At 34.6% G+C, this 14,409-nt stretch overlaps 1 protein-coding gene and 1 long non-coding RNA gene across 51 annotated transcripts in view; one reads left to right on the forward strand and one right to left on the reverse strand.

Annotated features, from left to right (window-relative positions):
• Positions 1 to 14,409, reverse strand: part of PPFIA2 (PPFI scaffold protein A2) — a 501,376-nt gene that overhangs the window by 245,779 nt on the left and 241,188 nt on the right. For 4 of the 48 annotated variants that reach the window (NM_001282536.1, XM_047429794.1, XM_047429793.1 and 1 more), the window contains exon 1: positions 8,531 to 8,638. The exons of the other annotated variants lie outside the window; for them this stretch is intronic. The gene's annotated coding sequence lies outside the window, so the exon portion shown is untranslated. Of the gene's footprint in view, positions 1 to 8,530; positions 8,639 to 14,409 lie in introns of those variants that run through there. 48 annotated transcript variants of the gene reach the window in all.
• Positions 1 to 14,409, forward strand: part of PPFIA2-AS2 (PPFIA2 antisense RNA 2) — a 141,042-nt gene that overhangs the window by 86,649 nt on the left and 39,984 nt on the right. The window lies entirely within an intron of this gene.

Genomic DNA, 14,409 nt, shown 5'->3' on the forward strand with positions numbered 1-14,409 from the left:
CTAAAAGCCTAAATAGCCATGTAAATGCATATGTATAAACAAGGCAAAGCTATTTTAAGCAGAATCTACAATGTATGAAAAACTGGGGCAAACTAAGTAATGCTTAGTCTTAAGACTCATTAAAAACAAAATTCTTTTTGTTACTGTAGCATTTAAAAAAATACAATTTTTAATTGTATTTGAGCAAATACAATTAAGTACAATTAAATAAATTTAATTTGAGCAAAACAATATATTTAAAATAAGATGATTAAAGTTAGACAGTGATATATTGGAGACATTATTATTTGTTTTGAGATACTTTTATGTGCAGCTAATGAGAAATAATTAAATTATAAAGTAATTATAAATAAATTAGGTATTTCCCATATATTTAAAAGTCTTAATCAATGCAAAATTCTCTTCCTCATAAATTCTTGAAGCTCAGAGATAATGGAACTATGGAAAGAACAGGCAATCTATAGAATGGGATAAAATTTTTGCAATCTATCCATCTGACAAACGGCTAATATCTAGAATCTACAAGGAACTTAAACAAATTTACGAGAAAAATCAAACAACCCCATCAAAAAGTGGGCGAAAGATATGAACAGACACTTCTCAAAAGAAGATATTTATATGGCCAACAAGCATATGAAAAAAAAGCTTATCACTGGTCATTAGAGAAATGCAAATCAAAACCACAATGAGACACCATCTCACACCAGTTAGAATGGCGATCATTAAAAAGTCAGGAAACAACAGATGCTGGAGAGGACATGGAGAAATAGGAATGCTTTTACACTGTTGGTGGGAGTGTAAACTAGTTCAACCATTGTGGAAGACAGTGTGGTCATTCCTCAAGGATCTAGAAATAAAAATACCATTTGACCCAGCAATCTCATTACTGGGTATATACTCAAAGAATTATAAATCATTCTACTATAAGGACACATGTACAGCTATGTTTATTGCAACACTATTCTCAATAGCAAAGAATTGGAACCAACCCAAATGCCCATCAGTGATAGACTGGATAAAGAAAATGTGGCACATATATACCATGGAATACTATGCAGCCATAAAAAAGGATGAGTTCATATCCTTTGCAGGGACATGGATGAAGCCGGAAACCATCATTCTCAGCAAACTAACACAGGAACAGAAAACCAAACACCACATGTTCTCACTCATAAGTGGGAGTTGAACAATGAGAACACATGGACACAAGGAGGGGAACATCACACACCGGGCCCTGTCAGGGGGTGGGGTGCTAGGGGAGGGATAGCATTAGGAGAAATACCTAATGTAGATAACGGGTTGATGCATGTAGCAGTGGTACATTCCCACTTCCAAATATATTCTGATTTAGTGAGTCTTTGTACGTCCCAGTAATCAGTATTTTTGACAAGTTCCTCCGAATGATTTAATGTGCAACTAGGTTTAAGAGAAACATGCAGCAAACCACCATGGCACATGTATACCTATGTAACAAACCTGCACATTCTGCACATGTATCCCAGAACTTAAAGTATAATTAAAAAAAAAAAAAAGAAAGAAAAGGGAAGAAAGGGCCAAACTACTCAAAAGAATGCTGAAAATAAGAGGTTCAGTTGAATATGTTGAAAGTAATGGTAGAGGGGCTGTTAATGCTTCATCTTGGCAAAGACATAGAAAATCTTGGTGATTAATCAAAAGGTCAGAATCCGTTACTCTATTTCCTTTCCAAGTGTTTTCCCCAGGATGGTTTTTGTTTGGTGTTTTATTGAGCTCTTGCTTCCTCTGCAAGTGAGCCTAATCTATATGCAGCTCTGGAGCAATGTCTAGCAATTGATTGTTATTTTCTGGACTCTGGCTGCAGGCTTGTCCATGAAAGTTGGAAGGTCTACCACAAAATTGCAAGTGGAGGCTCAGTGCTGACCCCTTCTTTTTCCTCCACCTCTGTTCCACACAATGAGTTCCCTCTTGTACATGTGTATGCCCTGAGCCACATGTACCAGCTTCTCAACTACAAGCAGTCTCCTTTTGGCTCTATGGTCCTAAGGATACATATGTCAGAGATGAGGTTTGCAGACAAAGGAGGAGGCCCATTCAGTCCTTAGAAATAGGCTCAGAGCATTGGATTAGGGATTTTCAGGGTTCCTGGTACATGCAGATGGTGTAGAAGAGGTAATGGGATACTGAATTGGATCTAGATTCTTGGCCTCAGGAACATCTGTTCTAGTGGTAAGGAATGAGACCAAAAGAAGACCAGAGCAGGGCTGAAGCACAGAGCATCCGACAGGGTTGCCTCGATTTTCTCACGTCCCTGATGTACAGTAAGCATTTAGTACCAATAAGTCATTTAGCAGCTGCTGTATCATGAAAATGTTTCCATGCTGGTGGAAGGAACCAGAATGAGGATGTCAGAAGTTATCTGCAAAGTTACATTAGGCTTATACAATATTTTTTGTACTCATATTTCTACAAAGACCTCAGTTATAACTTTTATTATTTGCTTATGCCTATCATTCCATTAGAATACTTCTTTTCTTTCTTGTCTGCCTGAAAATTTTGCAAGTTTTCTTTAAAAGCCCAGGTCAAACTTATACTCTGTATGAAACTTTCCCCAATCTTCCATCAGCAGAATTAACTTATGTTTAGATAGCACTTTATACATAACTCTAACTTAACACTGCCACACAGCATTACATTTAGGTATATGTATTTTCTCTATTAGAATATAAATTCACTGAACACATGATATTTGCTCATTCTTTCTTTACCCCAAACCAAATACAGTATTTGGTATATACAAAGGATACAACTAACTTTTGATGAATTGAATTAAACACATATGTTAAGTTTCCTATTCCTACACTGTTTTGTTTATCTTTTTCTTGAAACTAACTTTTGTCAAGATCTTTTGTGGAAAATGTGACAGAATATTCTAGGTATTATGTAACCAGGATGGTCTAAAGTAGGCAAATTATCTTTATTGATTCAGCCAATCATTTGGAAACCTTTATTTCTGCAAAGGGCCAGATAGTAAATAATTTAGGCTTTTCTGACTATACAGTCTCTTTCCTGCCACTCAACTCTGATGTTATAGCACAAAAGCAACACAGATAATATGTATACAGCAGGCATGGCTGTGTTCCAGTAAAACTTTATTTACAAAAACAGGTAGCAGGCCAGATGTGGCCCTGATCTATACCAGCACTTCTTAAACATGGTTACACAAGAGAATAAGTCCTAATGCTTTAAAGCATCCAATTACACACTAACTTCCCTCATACACATACAGAATGGTGATAGTTATGTACTATCTTAAGAGAATTGAGAAAATAGTTATTCAAATAGTATTTTTTTTTCTATGGTTCAGATGAGCAATGCTGGCTGACAGAAATGCTTATCTAGACACTAGACTTCCATTCATAGATAAGCCTAAGACTATATGATATTTTTAACACAAGCTATCATTGGTTCATATTGATTTTCTTTCCAGACAAATCCGCTTAGGTCTTTTATACTTCAGTTGTTTTATTATATCTAAATGGAAACTGCATATTTATCATTATTAATTCTTTTCTTGTTGGTTTTATAAAGAAAATCTCCCATTTCTTCCATAATAAAGCAGTATTTTTTTCAATCTATATCTTATGAGCTTGAAATTGTATATATACAACTAAAATCCAGAACATAATTATTATTAAAATGTCTGAGAAATTGTTTTTAATTGAGTTTTATATGTACCTCCTAAGTGACTTTTTGTATCCAATACTCCATCCAAGCTCTGTAGATGTTATCAAGGCCCAAAACTTGAACTCTCAATTAGCTCCTCTCTTTTATTTTTTATTCAGTTTGTTAGAAAAGTTTGTTGGATTTATTTTTCCAAACACATCCAGCATATAACCACTAGCAACCATGCTGGTCTGAGTCATCTTTATCTTTCCTCTCAATTACTGTAGTAACCTAACTGATCTTTGCTTCTGTCCCTGTCTCCTTTAGTCTACGCTAGGCATACTGCTAGAGGAGTCCTTTTAAAACATAAAACATATTTGTCTCTCCTTTGTTCAAAACCCAAAGAGTAATCAGTTTTAGATGGAGAAAAATTTATGAGAAACGGGAGAGACCTGTCCAATGTCACATAGACTGGTAGGTCTGGGCACTAGAGCACAAACATCTATCATTGAATCTGAAACCCTATCACATAACCAAAAGTTTCTAAATGTAAATTCATGTGCTATTTGTTTTCTTAGTATTAGACATTTAAAAAAAATAATACCAAAGAGTATCTACTCCTACTTCTGACATAAATAAGTGCTAAGTTCCTTAGATCTCAATTCTAGTAGTCACATTGTATTAAACTTCAGGGTGGGGCATTAACTTTATTATAGGTACGCAATATATAAATATATGTATGCTTCTTCATCTCTGAAATAAAGTTTATAGTATAAATACTATATTCCTCGTGTATTATCTGCAAGGATCAAATGAGATAACATTTATGGTAAGAGCTTTGTGGGGCCGGGCACGGTGGGTCACGCCTGTAATCCCAGCACTTTGGGAGGCCGAGGTGGGTGGATCACCTGAGGTCGGGAGGTCGAGACCAGCCTGACCAACATAGAGAAACCCCGTTTCTACCAAAAATACAAAATTAGCCTGGTATGGTGGCACATGCTTGTAATCCCAGCTATTCGGGAGGCTGAGGCAGGAGAATCACTTGAACCCAGGAGGCGGAAGTTGTGGTGAGCCAAGATCATGCCATTGCACTCCAGCCTGGACAACAAGAGCAAAATTCCACCTCAAAAAAAAAAAAAAAAAAAAAAAAGCTTTGTAAAACTTAAAGAATTATAAATAGCAAGAGTTTACTTTCTTTTTTTTTCTCTCTTTTTAAAATTTATTTATTATTATTATACTTTAAGTTTTAGGGTACATGTGCACAATGTGCAGGTTAGTTACATATGTATACATGTGCCTTGCTGGTGCGCTGCATCCACTAACTCATCATCTAGCATTAGGTATATCTCCCGATGCTATCCCTCCCCCCTCCCCCCACCCCACAACAGTCCCCAGAGTGTGATGTTCCCCTTCCTGTGTCCATGTGTTCTCATTGTTCAATTCCCACCTATGAGTGAGAATATGCGGTGTTTGGTTTTTTGTTCTTGCGATAGTTTACACATGCACACGTATGTTTATTGTGGCATTATTCACAATAGCAAAGACTTGGAACCAACCCAAATGTCCAACAACGATAGACTGGATTAAGAAAATGTGGCACATATACACCATGGACTACTATGCAGCCATAAAAAATGATGAGTTCATGTCCTTTGTAGGGACATGGATGAAACTGGAAATCATCATTCTCAGTAAACTATCGCAAGAGTTTACTTTCACAGGTATTTAAAGAATAGAAATAACGTTACTTCATTGGGATCCAAACCAAAGCAGAACCTTTTGTCCAATTATTATCAGTGAGATGTTTGTTTAGATGTGTAGATGGTGAAACTCTAGATTATGCCCCTTCTCAGTGGCTCACAGACTTCCAAATATTACACAGAAATTAGAAAATGGTAAGAGAAAGAAGGTTTTCCATTTTAGCCATCATCTTGATGACAAAAGACCTTCAAATTTTATTATTGAAAGATTCCTATTTCATCCTCCTCTAACTTTTGGACTAAAAGTTGAGACCAGGGTGAAATACCAGGTATAGAGCCCAAGTGAACAAGCTTTTATTTGCAGGCATTTATATAGGGTCTTTTCTCTGTCCCAAGGAGATTAGGGGCCTTGGTGCCCTTGAAATCTCTGTCTTCTTCACCCATATTTTCTTGCTTCAGGAAAATACTTCGAGGTCTTGCTTCTGAACCTGCTCACTCCACCTAACCTTTTTTTTTTTTTTGCTCTTGATTCCTGACTTCCTCTGTGGACTCAAACTATATAAAGTCTGTCCCCATCTCAAAGTTGTGGATCACCTCTACTCACTTCTACAACCATATATGCTTTCTGTGGACCTAGAACAGGTTGGAATTCTGGGAATCTAGCTTGAACAAGAAAGGAACTTGGACGTCATCTTTAAAGAAAATGTTCTCCTTTTTCCCTGAATACAAAGGACTCAGCATCATTTTGGTGAGAACTCAACCTTGCCTTTCTTCATCAGAAGTAAAAAGTGAATGTTTTTGAAAGTTCAGAACCATTCTATGCTATCTGTTAGATGTTAAAGGCAACTGGAATTTAGAAGAGGAGAAAAGAACACACACCAAAGATAAAAGCAACCTCACCACTCCAACTGCTTAATTTCCTATGCTTCACGTTTTGGTTTCTTCAGTTGGCAGGTTCCAAAAGTTATCTTTACACATATTCAAAATGTCAATTGTATTTCAGAATCCAAAAAATTAATATTTTCCAAACAGCTATTATATATATTTATTATATATCAATATTTTCCAAGCAGCTATTATATATATTTCCTTAATAACATATATACAAATAAACAGATGAGGCAGGCAGATGCATACAAATGTGTGTGTTTCTGTATGTGTGTGTGAGCTCCAATCACACTTCCCACAGGAACCATACATTTCTCATGAGCTCCTGTAATTTGAACTTTACCAAACTTGTCTTCATACTAACTTTTCCAATTAATCACATAGAAACTCAAACTCGTTTTACATTTGAATCTGGTAATTGTGTAATCTTTATCAGCAGAGCAAAAAGCTGAAATAAATTTTAAAACAGGTATATACAATATCATATCTAGAATGTATTAATTACTTAGGTATGAGACACTATTCAAAGCTCTTTACAGATTTTATTTCTTTAATTCTAAAGACAACATCATGAGATAGGTTCTATGATTGTACCAATTTTAGCAACAACAAAGGAGATATGGAAAGTCACAAATGTGTGTGGCAGGCATAGCAGGAATTTAAACAGATGATAACCCTGAGTTAAGAATAACCCGTGGAATTTCTGATTTGTGGGTGGAAGAAGAATTCTCACTCTTAACTGTTTTTTAAAAAATTAATATAGTGATGTACTAGTTTTGTATAGTCATCATAAAAGAAAAAAATCTTCAAAGAAATTGCTATTACAAACAAAATATTCATGACTAACAAGCATAAAAATAAGGCCATGTCTGAAATCATGTTCACCCACATGAAACATTAAACTCAGAATCAGCCAGGGAGGCTGATGTGCAACTAATTAGAAAACATTCTAATTAGTTTTCTTTATAGTTTTCCTTGTTTTTCATCTTTATCCTTTCCTTAATCTTCAAATGGCAGCTGGGTAGATGTGGTGAAGTTACATACACAACAATAATTTACCAGGAAAAGGAAAGCCATGTTCAATAAGATTTTCATTGCAAGATACATAACAAAAAAATCTGTTAATTTTCAAGCAAAGCAATGAAAGCTGAACACTCCCTAGCATACAGAGATGATTCTGAAAAATATTGGGTCAATTTTGTGACCATTTTTGACCCATATCTGGGCATTTTCCAATAGTGTCAAGAGACATCATTTACATTTGAAAATGCGTATACAAAGGAAAAAAGAAACCTCTCACCACTGCCAACAGACACTTTGTGATGGGTGTGTCAATTAGCACAAACTTTTGGAAAATTATTAAGAAAATAATACATCTTCAAGGAAAACATTATAAGAAAATAATTAGAAATGAACATCAAGATTTATAAACAATAATATCCATAGGTAAAATTGATTAAAATGTAATTTATAATCATGCAAATTTGGATAACATAGGAAAATATTTCAAATAATAGTACATTTTTAAAAAGGACTGTACAGGATTATATCTACCAGTAGATTTCAAATACACAAAAATATATTCAAAGTTGCATCAAGCTATTTCCTCTATACTGTAGGTTCTGTGAGGGGAAAAACGAAAAACAACCCTGATGTTTACTTTCATACCTTTGGCATCTACATCAGTATATGGAACATAATCAATGCTCGGTACAAAAAAGAAAGTTAAATGATGAATGAATACATGTATTTCCCTTCATATATATTCAATATATGCCTGGTAAGCAGTCCTTTAAGAACCCAACATTTCCAAGTCCTGAGCTGATTGTCTAACTGAATAGACCAAACATTTCTACAGGAAGCAGACAGTGTCTATTCAAAGAAAGAGTCCTTTCTTCTACTCTTAGTTTTGCTAAATTGGGCAGTAGAATGTTTCTGTTTGTTAATTTGAAAAAAAAAAAGATAATAGTCTAACAACTTTTTAGGTTTCTTGTGCAGTTTATGTGACACAAGGCATGAAAAACATTTAGCATATAAACACATAGCACTAAATAAATCAGAGGTGCAGTTACTCCAGTAAACGGAATCTCTCAAGGCCTATAGAGATGTATTGTGTGATTTTCTTTTTCTGCCTGCTTTTAAGTTTTTTTCTGTAGTGTCCGTCAATGTCAGCATGTTAGCTAACAATGTGTTTAATACTTAGCAGATGCTGTCTTATCATCCCTTACTTAAAGTCCCTTAACGGCTCCCTAATGCCTTCATTACAAAATCTAAACACCTCATGCTGACACAAAACATACCTGATGTCCTGGTCGGCCTCTGGCTCTCCCTTCCCATCTCCCACTGCTATCTCTTATGTACCTGCAGCCAAAACAAATTACTTACATTCTCTGAGCATTCTACCTTCTAAACTTTGTGATGCTGGACCCAGCCTAAAATGGAATTTTTCTTTAATCTAAATTCTAATCTTCCTTTAAAGTTAACTCATTAGTTTTTATTGCACTTAAAAATAATTTTAGCTTTTCTCAAAAATGTTTAATTTCTAAACTTTTTATTGCTTATTTTTATTTCAAAATATTTGGGGTTCAGGTGGTTTTTGGTTACATGGATGAGTTCTCTGGTGGTGATTTCTGAGATTTTGGTGCACCTGTCATTCGAGCAATATACTGTATACTCAATATGTAGTCTTTTTTCCCTCACTCCCCTCCCATTCTTCCCCACAAGTCCCAAAAGTTCATTACCTCATTCTTATGCTTTTACAGCCTCATAGCTTAGCTTCCACTTATAAATAAATGAGAACAAAATATTGTATTTGGTTTTCCATTCCTGATTTACTTCACTTAGAATAATCACCTTCAGCTTCATCCAAATTGTAGCAAAAGACATTATTTTGTTCCTTTTTATGCCTGAGTAGTATTCCATGGTGTTAAGTAAAAAGCTTCTGAACAGAAAAATAAATAATCAGCAGAGTAAACAGACAACCCACTGGGTAGGAGAAAATATTTACAAACTACGCATCTGACAAAGGAATAATATCCAGAATTGACACAGAACTCAACCAAATCAGCAAGGAAAATAATAATAATCCCATCAAAAAGTGGGCAAAGGACATGAATAGACAATTTTCAATAGAAGATATACAAATGGCCAACAAACATGGAAAAATGCTCAACATCACTAATTATCAGGGAAACGCAAAGTTAAACCACAATGAGATACCAACTTATTCTTGCAGGGATGTACATAATTTAAAAAGTCAAAAAACAATATATGTTGGCATGGATGTGGTGAAAAGGGAACACTTTTACACTGCTGGTGGGAATGTAAACTAGTACAACCACTATGGAAAACAGTATGGAAATTCCACAGAAAACTAAAAGTAGAACTACCATTTGATCCAGCAACCCCACTACTGGGTATCTACCCAAAGGAAAATAAGTCATTATACGAAAAAGAAACATGCACCTGCAAGTTTACAGCAGCAAAATTCACAATTGCAAAGATATGGAACCAACCTAAGTTCCCATCAACCCAGTGGTTAACTTTTTATTTTGAAAGGATTTTAGATTTATAGAAGAGCTATAAAGATAGTACACAGAGTTCACATGTACCTTTCATCCTCTTTCCTCTAATGTTGACATCTTATGGTATGTTCACCATACTAAGAAATTAATATTTGTGTAACAGTTTACTTTTATTTTTAAAAATGATTTTATGTAGTTTTAAAAATCTATGCCACTTGAAATTGGTCAACAATATATAATAAAGATAGAACAATCAGGCATACATAGGTGGGTAACCTTTCTCTGAAGATCATTGTCATAAGAATGTTTTCTCTATATTTTCCATTAGCAAATTATGAAGTGAATCCAGATTTGTCATCTATGACATTTAAATGGCAATAAATTAGCAGCCTGATTTATAAATGATTTTCCTCTCAGTGCCAGAATTAAACTGCATTGCTCTACAAAAATGAACAAGCAAAGAAACCACAAAGTCATATTCAAGTATTTGTTTTTTATCTTTTTGTTTACCCATATGATTATTTCTTGAATTAATACTACATGAGCAGATTGATTTGGAATTGTTACAACAGACAAAAAATCTTTTATCTCTGCCTCACTAGAACTTCCAGAATTTAATTAAAATTTATTCATTGATTCTGCCCTCTTCTATCCCAGTCAAGTTCCCCCCCTGAACAAATACAGTATATAGGGTCAGTGCAATGAGCAGAATTGCTCAGAAAATGTCCTCTCTCCTATTAACCTTACCCACATGTGAACATCTACTGATGTTAGCATTTAAAACACCTTATCTTTCTTTTATTCTAAAAGAAAATTAATTTAAGTAATAAGTAAAATTCAGAATTAAGGTCTTCACTGTTACATTCTATCATAGTGCAATTCACATATTAAGTTGCTAAATAATGACAACACCTGTAACTTTTCTTCTGTAATCATCTGAGCAAATGAATTAACTGTAAGTTAAGTTACTTTATTTTGACACTTCTAAGAGTGCTTTTTTTAAAATTAGGATTTTCATACATGTAACTTTAGGACATTTTTGGAGGTATGCACTGTCTTATACTGTATCCACATGCAAGTAAACTCACTTACTAAGGCTGAAATTAGAAATAAAACAGTTTAAGGAAATTTGGTATGCTTAAATCATGCAATTCTGATACAACTAAATGATACTTTTTTTGACACATATGACCATTCAAAATAATTACTTTTATACAATGATAAAGTTGATGTCTGTTTTAAAAATTAAATATACTAAATTATCCTGCATGGGCTACCTTTATTCCTTGTTTAAATCCACTGTGCTTTCCTTGATACAAGATTGGTAGAAATAAATTAACTCATTTATTATTCTATGACATTTTATCATTTAAGCTGTCACTTATGCTTTTATTATAGAGAAGAATCTCTGGTGGATTCTTAGAGACTTTCTTCTTATCCACTTTTTTGCATTCCTTAAGTGTTGTTTTCTGCTATTATATTCAATCTTTAAGATCATATACAGCTAAAATAAATTTAATGAGAGAGAAAGTATGTGTTTCTATTACTGGCATTGCCGTGAATTTTATATCACTGGTTTGCTTTGGTATTTTTACACTGAAAAATGAAGATACATAAAATCATCATAATAAAAAACAAACTGCCAATTAAAATTATACTTTATTTATAATGAACAGTATTTGAGAGGTGCTGAAGTAACTAATGCTAATTCAAGTAATGGGGGGTACAAGGTTACCCCTTTCTTTCCTACCAGCTACATGTACCAAAGAGTAAATCAAAAGAAACCTTTCCTGTAGGATAGAAAGCGTGCTGTGTTTCTGAAATCTTGAAGATTACCCAACATAGATGTAAACACACTCTGGTAAATGCAAATAACATACAAATCTAAAAGCATATTATTTATATTGATAAATATGCTGTGTTTACACAAATTAATAAAAATGTAAATAGCAAAAATTCTAAAGATTTTGCTACAATTATTTTAGCTTTATCATCAATTTCTCTTTCTGACTTGGGTTTGGATTTAGCTGCTCTTCAACTACTCTGATGGCCAGTCTAGGCTACTGAAGACTATCACTTGCTTTATTCATCAGCTTAGATGCTTATACTACACCTTCTCAGTGAGTGTCATCTGGATGTTTTAAAGTCAACTCAAATTCAATGTCTTCAAAACTTACCTCCCCCACATTTTCTCTTTTTGAATATTGTTTGATAAACACTGGATTATTTAACAATTCTATTTTTCAAATCAGAAATCTGGGAGTCATTCTACATTCATTTTTCTCATGAGTACATCCAGTATATCACCAAAGCCTAAAACTTCTACCCCAAATAGATTTCTAGAGTCTCACTCTTTTCTCTCTTTTCTCACATTTGATCATCTCTTACCAAAACTCTTTCTTGAATTTCCACTATACCAGCACATCATATACTTGGAAAGACCTTAAACTCCCAGCATGCCAAATTTTTTTTTTTGTATCTCATGGTTTAAATGGTTTTAAAGATATTATATTTTTTCCACATGGATTGTGGGAATTAAGGAAAAGATGTTCTCCAAATTTATAATTCTTATATAGCTTTTCTATTTGGGGAAGAGTAGAAGAGTGGAAAAGCATATTGGATTTGTTTCAGATAGATTAGTTTTATCATTTCTAAGTTCAAATAATGTCTTTATGCTTGTTTAAAGTTGGCCAAGTTATTGTAACTACCAGGAGATAGATTCTACTTATTTGTAAGAGGAGGATAATTCTTCCTGAAAGAGTTCTTGTTGAGATTAAATCAGATGTAATATATAATGTTCCTGTCTTCATTTATCAACTCTTCTATCCACTTAGCTTTCAGTTACCAGACATTTCCAATTATAATTTGATATATAAAATAAAATTTCACTTTGTTGTTATGGGTTGAGTTGTGTCCTCTGCCAAATATGTCGAAGTCCTAACCCTAGTACTTTAAAGTTTGAACCTATTTGGAAATAGGGTCTTTGCAGACGTTAAAAATAAGTGATTTGGTTGGGTCCTAACCCAATATGACTGTGTCCTTATAAGCAGGAGAAATTTGGACAGAGACAAACACATACACAGGAAGACAATATGAAGACACAGGGAGAGGTCATCTACAACACAAGGAATCTGAGGCAATCAAAAGTTCAAAGAATGGACCAGATTCTTGCAAAGAGCCTTCAGAAGGAACTAACCCTGCAAACACCTTGATTTTAGACTTTTAGCATCCAGACTGTGAGATAACAAATTTCTGTTGTGTAAGCCACAGTGGTACATTCTTATGGCAGCCTCAGCCAACTAATAAAATTGTTTTATTATGTTTTATATAAATGTGCCCATTCTTATGTTAACTTTTTTGGAAGGTTAACTAAGGAAAGATCTGAACCAGAAACACAGATAACTTGTCATATCACTTAGTGAAGTACCCCAGGAAACTAGGCAATTCATGAAAGATGTTGATAATCTTAGACATGAAACCAAGAGGAAAATATGTTTAATGAATTGCTCTCGCATTCTGCAGAACCAAAGAGAAGGCTTCATGATTAAAAGACAAGTAAAATAAAATATGCAGCATTTTTCCTTAACCCCACATTGTAGCTTTTTTTTTTTTTTTTTTGGCTGTTTTGCATTGTTCAGAGCTCTAGTAGAAGACAACAGAATCCACTCAAACTAGTGGGAAATTTGTCACACATGTTAAATGTCTTACCGAATCACTGGTAGGGATGATTAAATAGACTTTAAGCCAAACATTTAGTAACTAATCCTAAAGCTACCCGGCAGAACAAGGATCCAGGAGAATTACTGTCTCTTCCAAAGTTAGGAAGTCACCAGCTTCAGTTCTCCACCACTACTGCAACGATGAGGAAGGATATGTAGCTGTAGCAGCTCCAGAAACCCAGCATGTCTTCTACAGCCTGCACCAGTGAAAATCATTCCACACACTTCTCAAGATCCTCAAAGTTGCTGACGAGGTGCCGAGACCTCGGCTAATGCTGCCAAGAAACACTCCACATGCCTTTGACTGTGCTTGTTGGCAGATAGAACAGGAGCGACTGAAATACGGCTATCTGAGAAAGGTTAAGATTGACTGAACCTCCATCACATTGAGAACACTAGTTGCAAGAGAATCTTGAAGATGTAGATTGTAGCTTTCCATATTCTGCAATTCTTCAAGGACCATTAAAAGGAGATTGGTATGGTGTTGAGCACCAAGCCACTATACTCACCAAATAACACAGAAACGTTGGTTAGTTATGAAACTCTCTTAGTTACCTGATGCAGCCTCGACTTTAGGAATTCTTACTATTCATTACCACATACAAGCTATTAGCCTTTCTCTTTCCTGAAAACATACAGTTTTGAGGCTGCTACTCTCAGGTGACACTGCCTGCTACCTTTCCTTGTAATAATTTACAAATGCCCCAGATTGGCCTGTCGTGGGGTGGGGGGAGGGATACCATTAGGAGATACACCTAATGTAAATGATGAGTTAATGGGTGCAGCACACCAACATGGCACATGTATACATATGCAACAAACTTGCACGTTGTGCACATGTACCCTAGAACTTAAAGTATAATAAAACAAACAAACAAAAAACAAAACATACACACAAAAAATGCCCCAGATTTACTTCCTTAAAGATTTTAACAC

This window comes from Homo sapiens, chromosome 12, assembly GCF_000001405.40.
Source record: "Homo sapiens chromosome 12, GRCh38.p14 Primary Assembly".
Lineage (NCBI taxonomy): Eukaryota > Metazoa > Chordata > Mammalia > Primates > Hominidae > Homo > Homo sapiens.